The sequence below is a fragment of the Homo sapiens genome, chromosome 16 (assembly GCF_000001405.40).
Source record: "Homo sapiens chromosome 16, GRCh38.p14 Primary Assembly".
Lineage (NCBI taxonomy): Eukaryota > Metazoa > Chordata > Mammalia > Primates > Hominidae > Homo > Homo sapiens.
In genome coordinates, this window is record NC_000016.10 from 3582838 (window position 1) to 3603949 (window position 21112).

At 53.9% G+C, this 21112-nt stretch overlaps 1 protein-coding gene across 5 annotated transcripts in view, besides 2 other annotated features; it reads right to left on the minus strand.

The window, feature by feature from the left end:
• The window catches only part of SLX4 (SLX4 structure-specific endonuclease subunit), a 30426-nt gene that overhangs the window by 1657 nt on the left and 7657 nt on the right, over positions 1-21112 (minus strand). For 2 of the 5 annotated variants that reach the window (NM_032444.4, XM_024450471.2), the window contains exons 4-14: positions 19281-19470; positions 18142-18354; positions 14960-15162; positions 14542-14858; positions 13316-13556; positions 12768-12856; positions 11616-11762; positions 9862-10028; positions 6165-8473; positions 1932-2034; positions 260-673 (exon numbers count right to left, since the gene is read on the minus strand). In NM_032444.4, the coding sequence (NP_115820.2) occupies positions 260-673; positions 1932-2034; positions 6165-8473; positions 9862-10028; positions 11616-11762; positions 12768-12856; positions 13316-13556; positions 14542-14858; positions 14960-15162; positions 18142-18354; positions 19281-19470 (4393 nt within the window). Of the gene's footprint in view, positions 1-259; positions 674-1931; positions 2035-4098; positions 4832-5432; positions 8474-9861; positions 10029-11615; positions 11763-12767; positions 12857-13315; positions 13557-14541; positions 14859-14959; positions 16652-18141; positions 18355-19280; positions 19471-21112 lie in introns of those variants that run through there. The other 3 variants (XM_011522715.4, XM_047434801.1, XR_007064923.1) reach the window with 3 other exon arrangements.
• Positions 4571-4640: an enhancer, noted in NCBI's record as "active region_10329". NCBI's record gives its function as "activates an Ori minimal core promoter by ATAC-STARR-seq in GM12878 lymphoblastoid cells {active_cell/tissue: GM12878}" and the evidence as "EXISTENCE:reporter gene assay evidence [ECO:0000049][PMID:35858748]".
• Positions 6660-7406: an enhancer, noted in NCBI's record as "H3K4me1 hESC enhancer chr16:3639498-3640244 (GRCh37/hg19 assembly coordinates)". NCBI's record gives its function as "activates a minimal SCP1, AML or CMV promoter by ChIP-STARR-seq in primed H9 embryonic stem cells {active_cell/tissue: H9 hESC(primed)}" and the evidence as "EXISTENCE:reporter gene assay evidence [ECO:0000049][PMID:30033119]".

The window sequence follows — 21112 nt, forward strand, 5'->3', positions numbered from 1 at the left end:
AGAGATCCCTGCAGGCTACGCCAGCGGGATCCTGCCCCAGCCAGAAATGTCTAGCATGTGGGGCAGGAACCAGGAGGCCTGCGCAGGGCTGGGGTCAGGGAACCAGCCCCCTAAACCCACCTGGTTTTCCCACAGGTCAAACCCAGAAGGTGACGGGGGTTTTTGAAGATTGGCCATTAGGTCTCACTCGTGCCAACCCTCACGCCCACGGGCCAGAGGATACATGAGGCCACTGACCCCATCGCATCCATCCGGTTACCTCTGTGAGCTCAAGGAGCTGTCACTGCCATCCACAGAGGTGGCCACGGATTCTTGAGAGGCTGGGATCTGGGCGTCATCATTGAGGCCTGGAGGTGCCTCCTTGGTGGGCGACCTGCTTGGGGGTGTGATGCTTTCATGATGCTTCCTTTGATGTCGGGGGCCCTTGGTCTTAGCAGGTCCCTTGGGCCTATGGGCCCCAGGTCCTGTGGTGGCCTCCTGCTGGGCATGGACCCCTGCCCTTGAAGGCTTGTAGGTCTGGGAGGCGAGGGTCTGGCAGTGAGGCGCCTGCAACAGCGGCTGTGAGGACTGGCTCTCGTCCTCGGAGTCTGAGTCCAGGGTCTGGTGAGTGTACTGGAATATCTCCTTCAGCTTCAGAACCATCTGGCGTTTAGGCAGAGGGCGGACTCCAAACCTGACGGAGGAACAGGTGGATCTCAGGACCCACCCACACAGCTGGTCCACACTCCACGTTCCCTATCTTAGCAAAGAGTGATACCCAATGCATTCAGCGAATGGCTTGTGTGACAAACCATAGATGCCTGACTTCTGTGAGCATCAGAGGTTAGTGTCTATTCTAGGCGCCAACTAAGCTTACTCTGAATATTCCAAAAGAAACATTGCCAGCCAGGCACAATGGCTCACGCCTACAATCCCAGCACTTTGGGAGGCTGAGGCAGGAGGACAGTTTGAGCTCAGGAGTTCAAGGCCAGCCTGGGCAACATAGCAAGACCCCGCCTCTACAAAAAATACAAAAATTAGCCAGGCGTGGTGGTGTCACCTGTAGTCCCAGCTACTAGGGAGGATGAGGTAGGATCGCTTAAGCCCGGGAGGCTGAGGCTACAGTGAGCCAAGATCACATCACTCTACTCCAGCCTGGGCAACAGAGTGAGATCCTGTCTCCAAAAATAAAAAATAAACAAAAGATATGCTGCTCCCAGTTCTGAGGGATGGTGGCAGCAGCAGCTTCCCCGGGTGCCCGAGTGGAAGAGCAGTGTCATGTGGATGTGAGAGTTAAATGTTCTTTTAAAAAAAATCAGGCCTCCGCCGGGCACAGTGGCTCACGCCTGTAATCCCAGCATTTTGGGAAGCCGAGGCGGGTGGATCACGTGGTCAGGAGTTCGAGACCAGCCTGGCCAACATGGTGAAACCCCGTCTCTACTAAAAATACAACAATTAGCCTGGTGTGGTGGCGTGTGCCTGTAGTCCCAGCTACTCGGGAGGCTGAGTCAGGAGAATCGCTTGAACCCGGGAGGTGGAGGTTGCAGTGAGCCGGGACTGCGCCACTGCACTCCAGCCTGGGCGACAGAGCAAGACTCTGTCTTTCAAAAAAAAAATCAGACCTCCTCACTCAGACTGCTCTGGCTAGGGGGCCATTTCCATCTACATGGAATATGGGGACCTGCTGCCCAGGGGTGACATGCACGAATCCTGTGTGTTGCCTCCCTGGGGAATGGTACGCAGAGAGAACTGGGAGGCTCACCCCGGCACCCAGCAGTCACACATGCTCCCTAAGGAGCTGACTGCAGACCTTTCTTCCCAAGCCCAGGCCAGCTGCATCCACCAGACCCAGAGACCACACGGGGGGCCCTTCCGCCCCCAGGTGTGTGAAACCCAGTTACTTATGGGAGGGAAAAGACCACTGTGGGCAACAAGCTTTGAAGACCGCCAACCTATCCAGTTCCTTCTTCAGCACCGGCGTCTCCATAATGGAATACTGTGGCATCGGCGTTATGGGCACTTTGGGGGGCAAGTTCTTCTTCCGATTAGCACCTTCTGGGTAAAACAAAAGAAGCACACGTTTTAGCATGAGGGACACGGATTTCCCACATCTGATCCCAGTAGCGTGACCAAGAGGAATAATGCACTTGAAGATAACCCAAGCATCGTTTTGCTCCATGAAAGCAACAGTGGTCACCCCTTCCCTGTCTGGAGCAGGGGCTTCCCAATGATAGCATCGGTGACACGCACTGAGGACCACACCTTGTATAACACGGGTGCCGGGTGAACAGAGCTCCTGGGGCCACTGAACCCAACAGCCCGGCACGTGACTAAAACTTATGCATGTAAACTTAAAAATATCTGACCCACAGTGACAACTTGAGACAATGGGCCACACTGATACTCTTCAAACAGGCTTAGACATCAGTTTTGCTTTTTAAAAATAATTCATCAATTTAAAAAAACCCAGTTAAAAAATGGGCAAAGGGGCCGGGCGCGGTGGCTCACGCCTGTAATCCCAGCACTTTGGGAGGCCGAGGTGGGCGGATCACGAGGTCAGGAGATCGAGACCATCCTGGCTAACACGGTGAAACCCCGTCTCTATTAAAAATACAAAAAATTAGCTGGGCGTGGTGGCGGGCGCCTGTAGTCCCAGCTGCTTGGGAGGCTGAGGCAGGAGAATGGCGTGAACCTGGGAGGCGGAGCTTGCAGTGAGCCGAGATCACACCACTGCACTCCAGCCTGGGCGACAGAGCAAGACTCTGTCTCAAAAAAAAAAAAAAAAAAGGGCAAAGGATGTGAACAGACATTTCTCCAGAGAAGATCTACAAATGGCCAATAAGCACATGAAAAGGTGCCCGACATCATTAGTCATCAGGGAAATGCAAGTCAAAACCACAGTGAGATACCACTGCACGCCCACTAGGATGGCCATAACAAAAAACACAGAGGGTTTGGGCAAAATGGCAGAACCCTATCTCTACAAAAAAAAAAAAAAAAAAATACAAAAAAAGTTAGCAGGGTGTGGTGGCCCAAGTCACCAATGTGGGCAGCTGTTTGTGGCTGGTTCCAGCTACTCGGGAGGCTGAGGTGGGAGGATCACCTGAGCCAGGAAGGTTGAGGCTGCAGCAAGCCATGAACACGCCACTGCACTCCAGCCTGGGCGACAGAGCAAGACCTTGTCTCAAAACAATAACAACAACAACAAAAACAGAATAACAAGTGTTGGTGGAGATTTAAAATGGTGCAGTCACTTTGGAAAACAGTCTCGCAGTTCCTCACAATGCTAAACACAGTTGCCATATGACCCAGCAATTCCACTCCTAAGTACAGAACCAAGAAGAAGGAAAACATGTCTACACGAAAACTTGCACATCAATATTCCTAAGTGGCATTATTAATAACCACAAATTAAAAACAACCCGTGTGTCCACTAGTAGATGAATGGATAAGCAAAATGTGGCATACCATCAGTGGGGTATTAGACATACAAAGGAATGTATGCCCAAAGCCAGGGCAACATAGCAAGACCCAGTCTCTACTAAAAAAAAAAAATTAGCTGGGCATGGTGGCAGCTGCCTGTAGTCCCAGCTACTCAGGAGGTTGAGGTGGGAGGATCACTTGAGCCTGGGAGGTCGAGGCTACAATGAGCTGTAATTGCGCCACTGCACTTCAGCCTGGGTGACAGAGCAAGACCCCTGACTCAAAAACAGGCCAGGCACAGTGGCTCAGGCTTGTAATCCCAGCACTGTGGGAGACCAAAGTGGGTGGATCACTTGAGGTTAGGAGTTCGAGACCAGCTTGGCCAACATGGTGAAACCCCATCTGTACTAAAAATACAAAAAAATTAGCCGGGCATGGCATGGCGATGGGCGCTTGTAATCCCAGCTACTCGGGAGGCTGAGGCGGGAGAATCGCTTGGACCCAGGAGGTGGAGGTTGCAGTGAGCCGAGATCGTGCCACTGCACTCTAGCCTGGGCAACAGAGAGAGGCTCCGTCTCAAAAAAAAAAAAAAAGAATAAAAAGGAATAAAATACTGATCCATGCTACAACATGTATGAATCTTGAAAACTGTATGCTAACTGAAAGAAGCCAGACACAGACACAAAAGGCCACATATTAGTTATATATGGCTCTGTTTATATGAAATGTCCAGGACAGGCAAATCCATAGAGACAGAAAGGTTCTTGGTTGCCAGGGCTGGGGGAAGGGGAAGGTGAGAGACTGCTCATGGGTACAGGATTTTTGAGATGATGAAAATGTTCTAGAATTAGAGAGTGGGGACAATTGTACAACACTGTGAATGTACTGAGAAGCACTGAACTGTCCATTTTAAAAGGGTGGATATTATGGTATGTGAATTATATCTAAATAAAGCTGTTACTTTAAAAAATAATAGGCTGGGCGAGGTGGCTCACGCCTGTAATCCCAGCACTTTGGGAGGCCGAGGTGGGCGGATCACCTGAGGTCAGCAGCTCAAGACCAGCCTGATCAACATGGTGAAACCCGACTCTACTAAAAATACAAAAATTAGCTGGGCGTGGTGCTGGGTGCCTGTAATCCCAGCTACTCGGGAGGCTGAGGCAGGAGAATCCCTTGAACCCGAGAGGTGGAGGTTGCAGTGAGCCGAGATAGCCCCACTGCACTCCAGCCTGGTGACACATTGGAAACAGTCAGACTTTGGTTCTTCTGCCTTTTATGACCATGGAGCCCTTTGAGCCCCCGATGAAAGCGGCAGGCTCTGTCTCCTGAGAAAAGCACGATTCTTCCTGTGGCCGCAGCGTCGTCCTGAAGCCCACCTCAGATCTGCTGTGCAGCCTCCTGCAGCTGTTCTCACAGCACTGCCTGGGAACTGGTTAGAAATGCAAATTCTTAGTCACCCTCCCGAAGCAAGGCTCTGGGGCAGGCTGGGCCACGGGCGTGCTATAAGAAGCTCTCCAGGTGTTTCTGAAGCCCCTGAGGGCCGAGGACACTATCAGTGGCCTCATTCATCTGGATTTTGGGAGGAAATGGGCCCCCAGGCCGCAGGCAGGTGCTCACTCACAGCCTGGCCTTTCTCCCAGTCATGCTCAGCCCAGCCCGGCCTGTCCTTGCCCTCCCCGGAGGTGCCTGGATGGGAGCAGCAGCACCGAGGGGGCCGACACCTGGGGCTCTGACTCTCCCCGGGGACTGAAATGAGCAGGGAGGTGGCATCCCTGCACCTGGGAGGACCAGGAAGAACAGGCCTAACAGCCTCTCACACTTGTCCCACCTGATTCTTTTTTTAATTGAGGTGAAATTCACATAAAAAAATCGTAAAGGGAATAATTCAGTGGCATTAAGTATTCACAATGTTGTACAACCATCACCTCTATCTATTTGCAAAACATTTTCACCACCCCAAAAGGACACCCTGTATCCCATAAGCAGTCACTCCCCATTCCCCCTCCCTCCAACCCAGGCCAACCACTAACCTGCATTTTCTCTGGATTTGCCTATTCTAGACATTTCATATCCATGAGTGCAGACAGTACATGACCTTCTATGTCTGGCTTCTCTCACCCGGCAGCATGTTTTCTGGGTCGTCCACGCGGTAGCGTGTGGCAGTGCCTCACTCCTCTTTGTGGCTGAACACTATTCCATTTTCTAGTGGTCTAGATGGACCACGTTTGGTTTCCCTGTTCATCTCCTGACGGGCATTTGGGTTGCTTCCAGCTTTTGGCGATTGTGAACAGCGCTTCTATGAACATGCATGTCTGAGTCCCTGTTTTTAATTCTTTTGGATATACAGGTAAAAGTGGAATTGCTGGGTCCTGCAGTCAATCTACGGTTAACATTCTGGAGAACCACCCTGGTCCAATCTTAAGGCATGCCGATACTTGCTGAATGAGTTGTGGCCTTTGGAGGTGCCGGCTCCGTGTTCTGGAGAAGGGTCCACAGATGTGGATTTTTAACACATGCCCAGGTGAGCACTGGAGCCAGGCAAGTTTGGGAAACACTGACTTACTGGCTGAGAAGTGTAGCATGAGAACCAGCCCGGCTCTCCTCCACTGTGGAGGGGAGTCTGGAAGGCAGCGGAAGTGTCATGCCTCAGGTCAGCAGGCATTCAGAGGGCAGCCCCTGGGTCTCATGACTGATCTTCCCACCCTCTTAGTGTAAAATAGTAACAAAGACAGTCCCCTTCCCCAGCTCTCCTGGCTACTCACTGGGTGTCTCTAACCCTTCGGGCTTCTGAGCTCCACCAGCGCTTGGCATCTGGGCCGGAGGAGGGGTCTCTGGAGGCCTCTGCTCTTCCCCGTCCCAAACGTCCCACAGAGCCGAATTCAGAAAGCTCGGCCTGCTATTCCCCAGGGAGCCCGCGCCCGAGGACTTCTCTTGCAATTTCCTCTGGGTAGTGCAGCTTCCTCGGATGGGGGTGGTGTCCAGGAGTCCCGGGGAGCGACAGTCACGGCTGTCGGCGGCCTCGTTCATCCTGCGGCTGGGGCTGCTGGTGCTCAGGGGGCCGGTCCGCTCCAGGTTCCAGTGGTCAATGGGAATTGGCGAGAGGGGCTCCATGTGCCAGCAGCAGTCGTCAATTGGAATTGGGGGGTCACTGTCCAGTGGGGGGCTTCTGTTGGCCTGATGGGAGGCCACCTCCTGCTCATCGTCACTGTCTCCGACTTCCACCACTTCACCCGCTGGGGTCTGGTTCAGGAAGCTTGGCCCAGGCGGCGAGTGTTTCAGGAACCGCCTGCTGAAGTGGGCGCGGTCCCCTGAGATGGGATGTGGAGCCAGCGGAGAGGAGTGCGGGTGGCCCCCGGGGTGGGGACGGGAAGGGCTTCTGTGGCCTTGCCTTCTGCCGTCAGAAGTTCCTGGAGAGACGGGAGTGAGGCATGAGGACGGTGTCTGGGGCGGTGGTGTCTGGGGCCTGATGACAGAAAACTTCTGTGCGACTTCGTTCCCTTCCCTGTTTCCTACTGAGGCCCTGGGCGTGTGCTGAGTCACCGCCTGCACGGCCAGCCCGCTCCTGAGGCTGCTGATTTGGGTCTGGGAAGAACAGTCACGGCTTCTGCTGGCCAGCGGGGTGGCGGGCACCAGCCACGAGGTGTCTGTGGTGCTGGCCTCGCTGGGGCTGCTCTCACGGTCACAGAACAGCCAGGGAGCCCCTCTCCTGCCCAAAGAGCCCCGATTCTCCGGCAGCGCCCCCTCATCCTCCTGCTGCAGCACAGCTTCGCTTCTTGGTGGGCTCTGGGAAGGTTCCTGATCTGCATCAACATCAATGATGGAAAACAGCTCACAGGACCTAGGGCTAATTTCTAGAGCTTTCTTTTCTTCCAGAGGATCACTAGAAATGGACTTCATTTTGGTTTGTTCTAGCTCCAGCTCCTCATCCGAGTCCAGTAAGAGGATGACCTCATCTTCTTCGTTCAGTTTGGATGAAGATTTCTGAGATCTGGAGCTCGAATGGTCAGGATTTGACTGGGTTAGGTCAATAGACGGAGATTTTTCTGGGAACATCAGGACCCCCTTATTTCTGCACTCCAGCACGGACCGACGCTCTTTGCCTTTCTGGTGCCCTGGCTCTTTAGACAGCGTGAGGATGCTCCTGTCCCTTTTCTGCTTTGATGGCACAGCTGGAGACAGCAAGGTTGGGGAGCCCACCTGGGAAGTTCCGCCACGGGACCGGGGTGTTGACAGGGACGACCCACTTGTGTGATGAGACCCGCGGGGACTCCCGCCCTGGGGAGGCCCCAATAGGAAGCGGCACGGGTGCGGTGGAGATGCCTGCCAGGGAGCCAGGCGATGAGAAACCTCCAGCCCCCTTTCCCTGACAGCGCCACTTTGTTCCTCGGGCTCACTTGTTATTTGGGACGGCTCTGAGATCTCTCCCTGAGTTGATGAGAAGAGCTGTTCGTAATCCCCGGCATCATCTGAGTGCGGAAGAGAGCCTTCTTTTCTCTCTGCCTGGCAGTCCCTGGAAGGGCTGGAGCAGCTGGAATGGCCAAGCGCCTCCTCTGGCGCCTCCTGCTCAGGGGCCTCTGCTCCCCGTGCCCCTGAGTGCTGGCCCTGGGGTGGCGGGAGAGCGCACTGTCCCATCTTCTCCCAGGTGGTGGCGGCCTCATCTCTTCCTGGCTCCAACGGCTCCATCTCCTCCACCTTGTCCCACTGTTTCTGCACCTGGACACCTGCTAGGAGTTGCCCAGAAACCGGACTGCCACCCTCCAGCCAGTCAGCGTCCTCGCCGGCACCCGCTGCCCTTTCTTCCTGGAGAAGCTTTCGCTGAGTAGCTGCAAATTCATAAATTTCTTCCATTTCTGCTTCATTCACGTTTTCTTGATCTTCTTCGTGGTCCTTGGATTTCAACAAAGTCTCCGCTTCCTCCTCTTCATCTGCCCACATTGACCTCAAGAGTTCCTGGAAATTCTCGGCCCTGCTTTCGCAATTCTCTGCTTCCTTCTCCTCCCATGGTTTGCCCTCTGAGTCAGTGGCAATAGGCACCTGTTCGCACAGGTGAACGAGCTCACTCACGCCAAACCTGCAACACGAAACATCGACAGTCATCGCCCCTCTGCGTGGAGATGGGCTCTGGGTGCCCCGGTGGGGTGGCGGACCAGAGCAGAGTCTTCACCAGGAGGAATGACCATGACCCAGGCCCTGCTTCCCTTTGAAGACGGTGTCCACACTCCTTGCCAGAAACACCCAGGCCACTTAGTTCCAGAAACCGGGGACTGACAACACTTAAAGCAGGGCTTCCTAACTATAGCTGCAGACATAAAGGGGTGTGTCGGACTGAATGTAAGGTAACAGGGATTGGCAGAGCTACAAAACTGGGGAGTCTGTGCTGCCTCAGAGGCTCTTAAGATATGGTGTCAGAGCCAGGCATTGTGGCTCATGCCTGAAATTCCAGCACTTTGGGAAGCCGAGGATCACTCAAGGCCGGGAGTTTGAGATCAGCCTGGACAACATAGAAAGTCTCCATCTCTACAAAAAAATGTAAAAATTAGCCTAGGAGTTCAAGGCTACAGTGAGCTGTGATCATGCCACTGCCATCCAGCCTGGGCAACAGCAAGAGACTCTGTCTCTAAAAGGATAAAAAAGGTCATGCATGGTGGCTCATGCCCATAATCCCAGCACTTTGGGAGGCGGAGGCAGGAGGATTGCTTGAGGTCAGGAGTTCAAGAACAGCCTGGGCAACACAGCGACACTCCGTCTCTCCAAAAAATAAAAAATAAATGAAAAGACATGGCATCAGACACAATCCACAGCACACCAAGTCCTTGAGTCAGCCCAGGCCAACGGGCAAGCCAGCCAGCCACCTGCTTGAAGGCTCTGTGGCCCGTCAGTATATTTCCAACTCCAGAGGCTGAGCTGTTCCTTTCCTAAGAAAGCAGCGGAGGGAGGACGCAGGCTCGGATCAGCGGCCCAGGCCCTGTCCAGAGGCACAACACTTGTCCCTCTGAGCTGCTGCCTCTCTCCTAAGATGCTGGCTGGACAAGCCAGGAGAGCTGTGGCATCTGGGATGCAGCCTAAGCATTCTCTCCATGCCTGTTTTATGGGACTCTGGAAAGGACTGCTGTTGTTCAGGTCTAGTGGTGGAACAATCACTGAGCAGCAGTGTTGGGGGGCGCTGTAGCCAAGGGCCATTCTCTTATCACACCTAGGGGGTTAAAAACCACGGGACTCAATAGAGTCCTCCTGATCCAGTGCTTGGCACCCCTGCAAGGGTCTGTTCTGGCCTGACTTTCACCTAACATGCCCTGTTCCACAGGGTCATCACTGGTCATGGACTTGGGATTAAAAGGTATAAACAGGACTGTTAGTTCTCTTGGCCTCAGCCCCGAGCCCTCTGCAGCACAACCCTCCAGAGCTGTTAACCTGCCAGTCCTCGTCAGTTAATTTCAAAAGCTGGGGAGCAATCCAGACCTGTGGGCCAGGGAGCTCAGCTCAGAGCTAAGGCCAGGAGGAAGGCCAGTGTCCGCAGTGTAGAGATAGTGCAGGAACGTGCGGGCGGCCTCGGTGCTCACGTCACCCAGCAGGACACGCTGGGTCAGAACCCCGTCCTCTACAGCGGAGAAGCCTTCATTGTTCACCTGCAGGTGAAATGCAACACAGAGGGTTTACTGATCAGAGAGTTGTAACTTGGAGCAAAGCAGACGGTCTGGGGTGTCCTGCAAGTCACTAGTCTTTTTATTTTTCTTTTTAGAGACAGTGTCTCCCCTTGTCACCCAGGCTAGAGTACAGTGGTGTGATCATGGCTTACTGCAGCCTTGAACTCCTAGGCTAATTTTAAATTTTAATTAATTTTATTATTTTGAGTTGGAATCTCTCTCTGTTGCCCAGGCTGGAGTGCAGTGGTGAGATCTCGGCTCACTGCAACCTCCACCTCCTCGGTTCCAGCGTATTCTCCTGCCTCAGCCTCCCGAGTAGCTGGGATTGCAGCCGCCCACCACCATGCCCGGCTAATTTTTTATAGTTTCAGTAGAGATAAGGTTTCACTATGTTGGCCAGGCTGGTCTTGGAACTCCTGACCTCAGGTGATCCACCCTCCTCGGCCTCCCAAAGTGCTGGGATTACTGGCGTGAGCCACTGCGCCCAGCCCCTAGGCTAATTTTTAAATTTTTTTGTAGAGATGGGCTCTCACTGTGTTGTTCAGGCTGGTCTTGAACTCCTGGCCTCAAGCGATCCTCCCACCTTAGTCTCCCAAAGTACGGGGATCTCAGGCATGAGCCGCCGTGCCTGGTCCCTAGTCTTAAAAGCAGCTCCATGCCCCAGGAAAAGCATTAGCCACTGTTTATGCAGATTTTTGGCCAATAATTTTACAGGTGAGGCCTAACACTCCTCTTTTGTCAAATCGTATTGGGACTAGATATTCCAGGACCCCGTTAAGAGTCCTCCTGATAGACACATATGGGATCCAGAACTTTGACAAAGACTGAGAATAGCTCCCTGAGTTCCTGCCCACACTCAAGTCAAATGCTTTCAAGTCAGAAGGCAGGTTCATCAGCAACTCATCCCTGAGGAGATCAATTATGAGCCTTTGTAATTATGCAAATAGAGAAAAGAGAAAACAATTCTGGGAAACAATGGATTTTCTTTTTGTTTTGTTTTGTTTTTGAGACAGAGTCTTGCTCTGTCGCCCAGGCTGGAGTGCAGTGGTGCAATCTCAGCTCATTGGAAGCTCCGCCTCCCAGGTTCATGCCATTCTCCTGCCTCAGCCTCCCGAGTAGCTGGGACTACAGGCGCCCGCCACCATGCCCGGCTAATTTTTTTGTATTTTTAGTAGAGACTGGTTTCACTGTGTTAGGATGGTCTTGATCTCCTGACCTTGTGATCTGCCCGCCTCGGCCTCCCAAAGTGCTGGAATTACAGGCGTGAGCCACCGCGCCCGGCCAAACAATGGATTTTCATTCAACAGAACGAAAACACTGATGTTTCCCAGTTGTGAGGCCATCCCCTCACACCCACTCCTAACCTCAAGCGTGGGTCTTTATCTCTTCTCCACGTGTTGCAGAAACGGATGGTTGGGAGGGAGAAGGTGAGAACATGGTGGGGCAGGAAGTGAGGGAGAGTGGGGGGGTGGAAAGGGCACCTGAGACATGGGAAGACCTGGTTGGAGAAAGGCAGGAGGAGAGAGGGAGAGAGAGGAAAGGAGGGCACACGGCAGCCCACGTACTTACATACTGGATGAGGAGCGGGCATCGGGCATAAAGCACGAACTTGTGGGCGTAAAGCACCTCCCCGCTGTCCGTCTGAAACTGGACATCACTCAGGTGTGGGTTATTGACCATGGCGCCAAAGTCAGCAACCAGCAGCCCGAGGGAGAGCTGAAGCAGGAGGAGAGGAAGAGCCGTCACCTCCCCACCTCTGCTCTGCTAACTGGGCAGTGGGAAGCTCCCCGCATGGAGGTGGCGCTAGGGTGGGCCGGGAGCCAGGACCTGCATTCTCCTTTCCTCTCCAAAACGCTTCCCACGATGGCCTCAACCTCTGAGTGACCCTAAGGCCCTGAGTAGCACAGAAGAGCAAAGCACTAGCTTGTTCCTCTGGCTCTTGCCAGTGGGTTCCCTGGCCCCCGTGGAGATGCCAGACATGGGGCTAGATGTGAACTCACAGTGCTGGCAGCTCCCGCACTGAGTGGGACAGGCTGCGGGATACCTGGGCTTTGAGGAGGTGCACCCATCCCCTGTGACGGACAAGCACCCTGAGTCCAAGCAGCTCGGGGACCTGGCCAAGAGGACAGCCGGGTCCAGTCTGTGATGATGTCCCTAGGCTGGCCTTGGCATGAAGTGCTTGGTTGACACTGACATGCAAATGGGAGGAGGTCCACTCTAGGGAAAAGCCAGTTCCCACCCCGGTTCTTCCCCAGACAGCGCACTGACAGGGAGGCCAGGCCAGGCTGCTCAGCTGTGCTCTGGAGCCCAGGACCCGCACAGAGGGGAGGGAGAGCAAGCCCTTGGTGAGCTCCCAACTACTGAGGAACGAGCAGAGCGTGCCTGGATGGGGCAACCGCGCTGAGAAACTGTGGTCCCTCTACACTCCTGGGACCCAGGACAGGGCAGGCTCTGGGGCCTCAACCCCAAGGTGCCCCATGGAGTCACAGACAGAAAAGGCAGAAGTCTCGTGGCAGAGCCCCCAGAGGGGCGCTGAGGTGGCTGTGGGTCCGTGGCTCTGCTCACGGATGTCAGGATGTGGCAGCCTTCTGGAAAGCAGAGGCCTTGAGAGGCCACTGCACTTGCGTTGGGGGCCAGAGGCCAGCGGTGAGCCAACCCCACCACACACATGGCAAGTGGGATGGCCGGGACCAGAGAGCGCGGGCCAGAGCCAGTTCTTACCAAGGTGCGGCCGCCCCTGTCCGGGTGCTTGTCCTGCGATGGCACCACAAACCCAGTCAGAGGAAGGCCGCCGGGCACCACGTCCAACCCTGAGTGGAGGATTCACAGGTTAAAGGAACGTCACAGCCCAGCCACATCCACCACCAAGAAGACAGCGTTGACCACAGGCTGAGCCAGCCCCTGCGGTGCCTCGGAAGGTGCTTGCTATCCGAGGACACCTTCATGCAAAGCAAACCCGCACACCCTGTCTCACCACCACTCCACCAGGGAGGTAAGAGAAGAGCAAAACAGACAGTTCACCCAGAGGATTCACTCGCTGTGGGCAGACAGCTCTGTCTTTGGTTAAAGTGGAAGGAAAATCATGACAGAGTTGTCTACACCACATTGACCTTTGAGAAAAAATGAAAGCGCCCAGAGGCTGCGTGTTCTCCCACCAGGTCAGAGCTGCCGTCGCGGCGGCACAAGAGCCAGTCCATGGCAGCCTCAGCCGCGGGGAGGGGAGGCCCGGGAGGGCAGGGCTGGCCCTAGAGTCCCACCCAGCATCTCACCTGCAGTCCCTTCCGAGCCAGCCAGGCCCCCACTGCCGGGCCACGGGCTGGCGCTCAGTCCCTCCCTCGCCAGGTCCACGAGGTCCTGCAGGGCCTGGTGCTCCCTCTGGCTGGCCGAAGGCGACGGGCCCCTGGAGCCACAGCCTGCAGTGGGGGTGCCGTGGAGAGCGGGTGACCTTCGCTCGCTCAGCTCTGAGTGCTCAGGTGGCACCAGAGGCGGCACGGGCTCCTGCATAAGGCCCTGAAAGAAGCCAGTAAGGAGAGTGACCACGTGGTCACTGTCATTGACGCACACACTGCAGAAGCCATCACATGTGGTATGCACGGCTGGACCTAAAACTACAGAGCAGGATGTGGGCTGTGGGGACAGACTGTCCCCGGGGCTCCAGCCACAGCCTGGAGCAGTCCTGGGATGCTTTTCCCCAGCACTCATGTCAACATGCTCCTCCTCTGTCACGGCCAAGGCCAGGCCTGTGGCATCTGTTTGCACAAAGGCTTGTCAGAGGCCAGGGGGGCCCAGGCCTGCCGCCCTCCTGAAGTCCTCCAAGCTGCCTCAGGCAGCTGCGTACTGACTGTAGGGCTACCTGCCGCACGACTGTCTGGAGTGTGTGCTCCGAATGCCAGTTTCCGGGCTCCATCTGAGGCATTTTGCCAGTTGCCCTGGGACTCTGTTTTTTTTTTTTTTTTCAAGACAGAGTCTCACTTTGTTGCCCAGGCTGGAGTGTAATGGCACGGTCTCGGCTCACTGCAACTTCCGCCTCCCCGGTTCAAGCGATTCTTCTGCCTCAGTCTCCCAAGTAACTGGGATTACAGGTGTGTGCCACCATGCCTGGCTAATTTTTGTATTCTTAGTAGAGATGGGGTTTCACCATATTAGCCAGGCTGGTCTCGAACTCCTGACCTCGTGATCCGCCCACCTCAGCCTCCCAAAGTGCAGGGATTACGGGCGTGAGCCACTGCGCCCGGCCGGGACTCTGCATTTTCAACAAACTCCAGGAACACACTCTGGTGGACACCAAGGGTCCTCCCTGATCCTACCCAGAGTACCATGTAGTTGCTGGACAGAGAAGAAAGCTGCAGCCACCAAGTGCCCCTCTGGCCTCCTCCCGCCTCTGCCTTTCCTTCCTGGACTTTCCATCACCTGGCTGTGGGTACCCAGTGTTGCAGTTCTGGGATTGCCAACCTCCCCCAAAAGCCTATCCATGTGCCTGAGGGGAGGGACTCACCTGGGCAGGCCGCTGGGGCACGAGAGGAGGGACCAGCCTGGCCGTGTAGAAGTCCTCCATGGCCCAGGCCCCAGTCAGTGCGCTGCCCTCCCACAGAAAGCTCTGCTTGCGTTCAGGTGGAGGAGGACACTGGCCCGCTCTTTCCCACCCTTCCTTTAAAATCCTGCTGGCAGGAAGTGGTGGCGTGCTAGACAATTCCACTTCCTCAGAGAGGAGCAGGGCCACACGGTCCTCTATCTGTCGGCCTGTGGTTTCAGAGTCCTGGACTAACAACAATGGGGGGGATACCGGGGGTTTCTTCTTGCGACTTTTATTCTCTAGAGAGAAACAAAAGCGACACCATCAACGGTGGAGTCGGTCCACTCACCCGGGACCTGCTGATGGCCTCTCCCAGGGTCACTCTTCTGATCACACAAACCTGCTTCTGGTCTTATCCTCTCAGAAAAGGCACTTTCCAGCCTGAGCGCTGGTACAGCCGCACCCGGCTCCATCTCCGACCGGGACAGAGCCATGGCCACCAGCAGGTCCTCGGACGGTGCCTCGTCCACCTTCCGCCTCTTCCGTGGCTCCTTCTTGCTGGTGGGTCCTCTCCGTTTCAGACCTCTACTGTGATCACTGAAGCTAGAAAACAGCCAAAGAGAAAAGTTACTGGGGCTAGAGGAGTGCACGCTTCTCAGGTTGGTCACACTGGTCTGGAGAGGGCTGGGCCTGAGAGAAAAGTGACGGATGTGGACCTGCCAGGCAGATGCGTCCCCCACTTCCACTGCCTTGTGTGAACTCATTCAATTCCAGGCCAGAAGTTCAACATGGCCCAGGCACAGGAGGGTCTGGGTTCCTTCACGTGCTGCTGTCCAGCAGGCTCATGGCAGATGTACGGAGCCATCTGTGGTACCTGCACATCCTCATGTGGCCAAGCCCATCCAATGGAGTCAACAATCGATGGCTCTGAGCAGGCTCCCTGGACTCCCACCACCTTCACCCATCAATACTTCCGATGCTCCTTACACGGTCCTGGCCACACCGGCAGAAAAGGATCCCTTCCCTCCTGCAAGGGCTCCACGGCAGTGCCTCTGTCCATGGCCAGAAGGAAGGGCTTCCCAGCTTAGGCTGCCGATGGTCAACATTATACCAGCCGCCCCGGGACTCTGCACTTTCAACGGGCAGCAGCTCGTTTGGTTTGGAGGAAATGAACAGGAGTTTCCGGCTGGAGAGAACCTAGGCTGCCTGGGTGACTCCCAATAAGCTGGGCAAGAAGGAGGAGGGCAGAGGTGACAAAGGAACTTAGCACAAACCGGGCCCACCTTCCCTGCAATGCAGTCATGCCTCTGGCTTTTGCAAAAGCTCATGCTCTCCAGGGTGCCAGGGATGGCTCAAGTTCACCTTCCCAGGAACGTGGATAATCACAGCCTCCCAGAGGGAAAGGAGCTGCCTGGGCAGCCTGGGACCCTGCTTCTGTGAAGGGAACACAGACTGTGTTCCCTCCTCACTCCCCAGCAGGCCAGGTTTGGGCTGTGGGGAAAGAATATGAGGCACTCTGGCCGGGGCATGCGTTCTGATGACCACAGGCTTGGCCTTTGGGGAGGGAGGGGTTCAAAGACCCCATGAGGGCATCCAGCTCCTGTAGTTTTCTACTCTGACAACCTTCTAAACGGATCCACATACATCTAGTTTCAGTACTTGGAGGTATTCTAAAGGCAGACATACTTTATCTGAGCAGGTGCTTTTGGCGTGGTCCTGCCAAGAAAGAAACAATGGCTTAGATGACGTCTATTCTAAGGCCTCAAGGCTTGCACCCCTGCCATGCTAAATACAGATGCGCTCCTCCACCAAGAGAATCCCCTCTGCCCTCTGCCATCTCAGCCCCGAGCCAGCTCAGCTGCCCATGACCTGTGTGCAAAGCAGGGGGCGGGACAAACAGCTATCGCCTTTGGCCTTCCCTTTGCTCCTGACAGCGGTCTCAAACCTGGAGGAGTCAAAGGTCCAAGATGCCTTTGTTCACTATGAACCTGGTGTCAGCTCTAGCGTCCTCAGCAGCAGGGCAGCGTGGAGCAGGGCCAGCCCTCTGGCACTTGTGTGGCTGTGGTTTGCATGCTGAGGACTTGTTTCCTGGCTGTGAGCAAGGCAACTCATTTTAACTTTTAAGCATTAATTCATGCAAGATTTTTAAAAAATAGGGTCCTACACTTCTGTTGCACCAACTTTGTTGTTGTTTTTGTTTGTTTTATGAAGACAGGTTCTTGCCCTGTCGCCCAGGCTGGAGTGCAGTGGTGCAATCACAGCTCATTGCAACCTTGGCCTCCCAGGCTCAAGTGATCCTTCCGCCTCAGCCTCCCACGTAGCTGGGACTACAGGTGTGCAGCACCACAGCCAGCTAATTTTTTAATTTTTTGTAGTGATGGGTCTTGCTATGTAGTCCAGGCTGGCCTTGAACTCCTGGGCTCAAGTGATCCTTCCGCCCTGGCCTCCCAAAGTATTGAGATTACAGGTGTAAGCTACCGTGCCTGGCCAATCACCAAATCTGTGAACTGTGCTGAGTAATCTTATGTTAACAGTGTGAAAACTGGACTGTGCTGAGGTGGAAACCATGCTGTCCAACAACGAAATGGATGGAGTAAAGTGACTACCAAATTCTTAGATGTGGTAAAGCAGTAGTCCCCAACCTTTTTGGTACCAGGAACTGGTTTCATGGAAGACAATTTTTCCATGGGACAGGAGTAGGGGAATGGTTTCAGCATCAAAGCATTCCACCTCAGATCATCAGGCTTTAGATTTTCATAAGGAGAGCTCAACCTAGATTCCATGCATGTGCGGCTCACAACAGGGTTTGTGTTCCTGTGAGTCTAATGCCACCACTGATCTGACAGGAGGCGGAGCTCAGGCAGTAAAGCTTGCCTGCCCGCTGCTCACCTCCTGCTGTGTGGCCAGGTTCCTAACAGGCCACAGACCGGTACTGGTCCGAGGCTGGGGGGTTGGGGACCCCTGCACTAGAGGGTACCGACTGTGGGATCATGGGATTGGAAACTCAGGAAGGACCTTGAGGAAAACAGTGCGAAGATCATTTCTGCACCCCCCTAAAGGGGCAGGTCCAGAGCCTTCCAGAATGCAGATTCTGTCCCCTCCTCACTCCCTTCTAGACTGTGCCCGATTTCCGCCCTAAGTGTTTCATTTCCAGAATCAAAGAGGGCTCTTTTTCCCTCCAACACTATAAAAAGCTTTTTTTTTTTTTTTTTTTTTTTTTTTTTGGAGACAGGATCTCACTCTGTCCAGGCTGGAGTGCAGTGGTACGATCTTGGCTCACTGCAACCTCTACCTTCTGGGTTCAAGTGATTCTCCTGCCTCAGCCTCCCAAGTAGCTGGGACTACAGGCATGTGCCACCATGCTAATTTTTGTATTTTTAGTAGAGACGAGATTGTACCATGTCGGCCAGGCTGGTATCGAACTCCTGATCTAAGGTGATCTGCCCACCTTGGCCTCCCAAAGTGCTGCGATTACAGGTGTGAACTACTGCGTCCAGCCCATAAAAAGCTTTTTTAAATAGAAAAAGCCCTGAGTGCACACAGCATTATTTGGCTTGGTTTTCTTCCTTTTCGTCGACTTACCTGAACATGGGTGGGCTGCTGCTACCCTCAGGCTGTGCTGTCTGCAGCCGCACAGCCTGAAGCAGGAGCTGGGGGCCAACCTCCATCTTCACAGCACACTGCTTCAAGTGACTGGTTCTGCTCTTTAAGGTAAGAAACGGTTTCCCACAAATCGGGCACTCAGGGATCTGAGGCACAGAAGGTCTTAGTGTCTTTTCAGCTTCATCCAAGCACCTGAAGGAAAACAGTCAATACAGGAGAACCACCCTCCCCAGGAATGTGGATTGGAGCAAATGTGGGTCCAGGTCAACACAGACGTGCTGTGGTCAAAGCAAGTTCCCCAAAGCCAATCCCCTCTACACAGCCTGGCTCCGTCTCCCGGCAGTCAGCCCCTAGACACTACACTTAGGTATCTGTCAGCAAAGTTGGCTAAAGAAAGCAAGGAAAGATTAAATGCAGTTACATGATGACTTAGAAATTCCACTCCTAAGTAGAGACCCCAAAGAACTGAAAGCAGGTACCCAAACAAATACATGAAACCCATGTTCACGGCAGCTCTATCCACAATCCCAAAGGGTAGAAATGCTCCAAATGTCCGCCAATGGACGAAAGGATAAACCATGGTCATATTCCTCATCTAAGAATGGGAAAAACACAGTCTAGCCATACAATGAGATACTGCTCAGCCATAAAAAGGAATGAAGCCTGCTCCATGCTACAACATGGATGAACCTCAAAAACAACATATTAAGTCAAAGAAGGCAGACACAAAAGGACAACTGTGCAATTTCAGAATCGGCAAATCCATCCAGACAGAATGTTGATTAGTGGTTGTCAGGGGAGAGAGGGGCAATAGGGAGTGGCTGCCAATGGGTGTGGGGATTCTTTTGGGGGTGATGAAAATAATCCAGAAGTGATTGTGGTGACAGTTGCCCAACTGTGTGAATATCCCAAAAGTAGTGATTTGTTCAGTTTAAATGGGTGAACTATATGTTCTGTGAATTGTATCTCAACGAAGTTATTTTTAAAAAGGGGTAGGTTGACAACAAAGCTGAGGTGCTGTTGTCATGGTAAGGTGTGGAGATCCGCACTCCAGCCCTGGGGTGCTTGGGGATTCTGGTCACATACACGGGAGAGGCGACGGCCCAAGCTGCCCCCACCTGTTCACATGCTGTTCCCTTCGGGTCACGTTCATGGCTGAGAGGTTCTTTTGACAAATCTGGCAGAAGAACAAACCCTTTTCCTCCAGGCTATCATCATGTGCCGATGCTCCTACCCGTGCAAACTCCTGCTGCAGGGTCAAGGCCACCGCAGCGTCGCTCTCTGGGGCAGGGGGCCCAAGCCCATACACTGTGGAGAAGCACCAAAGATCCGTGAGAATAAACTCCAAAGACAAGCTCACCCTCAGACCTCTGCTCTGTCAGCTCCTGCAGACCATGGGGAGCAGGTGGAACGCAAAGAAACCAGAACCCAGCTCCACTCTGCAGGCTGGTGACTTGGACACTGTCCAGTGAGACTGGGCACTAATCAGCACTCCGGGAACAGCCGTCTCCAACTTTAACATGGATATGCATTACCTGGGAAGCTTGTCGACACTCAGATTCAAATTCAAGGGGTCCAGGTGCAGCCTGAGACTCTCCGCATTTCTAGCAGCCTCCAGGCTTGGCGATGCTGGCAGCACAGGACCACTCTGAGTAGCAAGGACCTAAACTTTCCCACTTCTGCTGAAGTTGGCTACCTCGGGCATTGCAAGTTCACAAGGCTCATATTCCAACAAAGCTAGATGTTCTCTTCAAAACTCACCCTTTCCTGCTGACCTTTTACTGCCCATGATAAAACCAGGGCAGAGTGAAATGCCTTTGGCGTTTAAAAGGCAGCATCTCTTACTTAGCATCAGACTCAAGAATGGACTGATTCTGGTCTTGAGATGGCTCCCAGGGTGGCCCATCTGATATTGCTGGAGCAGACCCCTGTCACTCACAAGGGATATGCCCTGAACGCCTCATAAATCCCCAAGTTCTTCATGGCTGTGGCCTACCAGTGCCTGCCACTGAGGCCAGCAAAACAGCACACCTTCATTTTGGTGCCCTGTTTTGTTTGTTTGTTTGTTTTTGAGATGGAGTCTCACACTCTGTCGCCAGGCTGGAGTGCAACGACGCGATCTCAGCTCACTGCAACCTCTGCCTCCCGGGTCCAAGCGATTCTCCTGCCTCAGCCTCCTGAGTAGCTGGGATTACAGGTGCCCACCACACCTGGCTAATTTTTAGTAGAGACAGGGCTTCACCATGTTGGCCAGGGTGGTCCTGAATTCCTGACCTCAGGTGATCTGCCCGCCTTGGCCTCCCCAAAGTGCTGGGATTACAGGCGTGAGCCACCGCGTCCAGCCTGGTTTGGTTTCTTAACAAACAAATGGTTTATCTCTTTCTGAGCACTTGCTGGGTGTGATGTGAAGATACAGAGAGAACTGAGTCAAATGCTGGGCAGGGGCGGAGCTCACACCAGCTGGGTGCCTCCTCTGCAACTCACATGTGCGTCCAGGACTGATGCCTCGGCAGGACATCAAATCACTGCCTGCTGTGGACCCTGGGGTGGCCTGAGACTCCTCCGTGCTACTGCAGTGAAATCTGCAATGCAATGCCAAGATCCTGCATACTTATTAGCTGTAGGTCTGCCGATAATGGTTTCTTCCTATTTCTTTTCCTTTTGTATATTTTCATCAGAGATGAGAATCCATATTGTTTTGGGGATGGAGAACAGGAGCACCTGGCATTATTACGCTTATTGGGCCGGTGCCACACCAAGTACACAGCAGCTATGGGGCACTGTCGCCACCCTGTCTCACCTGCAGCCAATGAGCCTCTAATCTACTCAGAGTGGGGCAACCCAATGGTTAGAGGAAGGAGTTAACGATCCCATAAAGAAATAAATCCAGAAAGTGGGAAATCTTATAATACAATTAGCCTAGCCTCTTCAAAAACTCAGTGTCATAGGG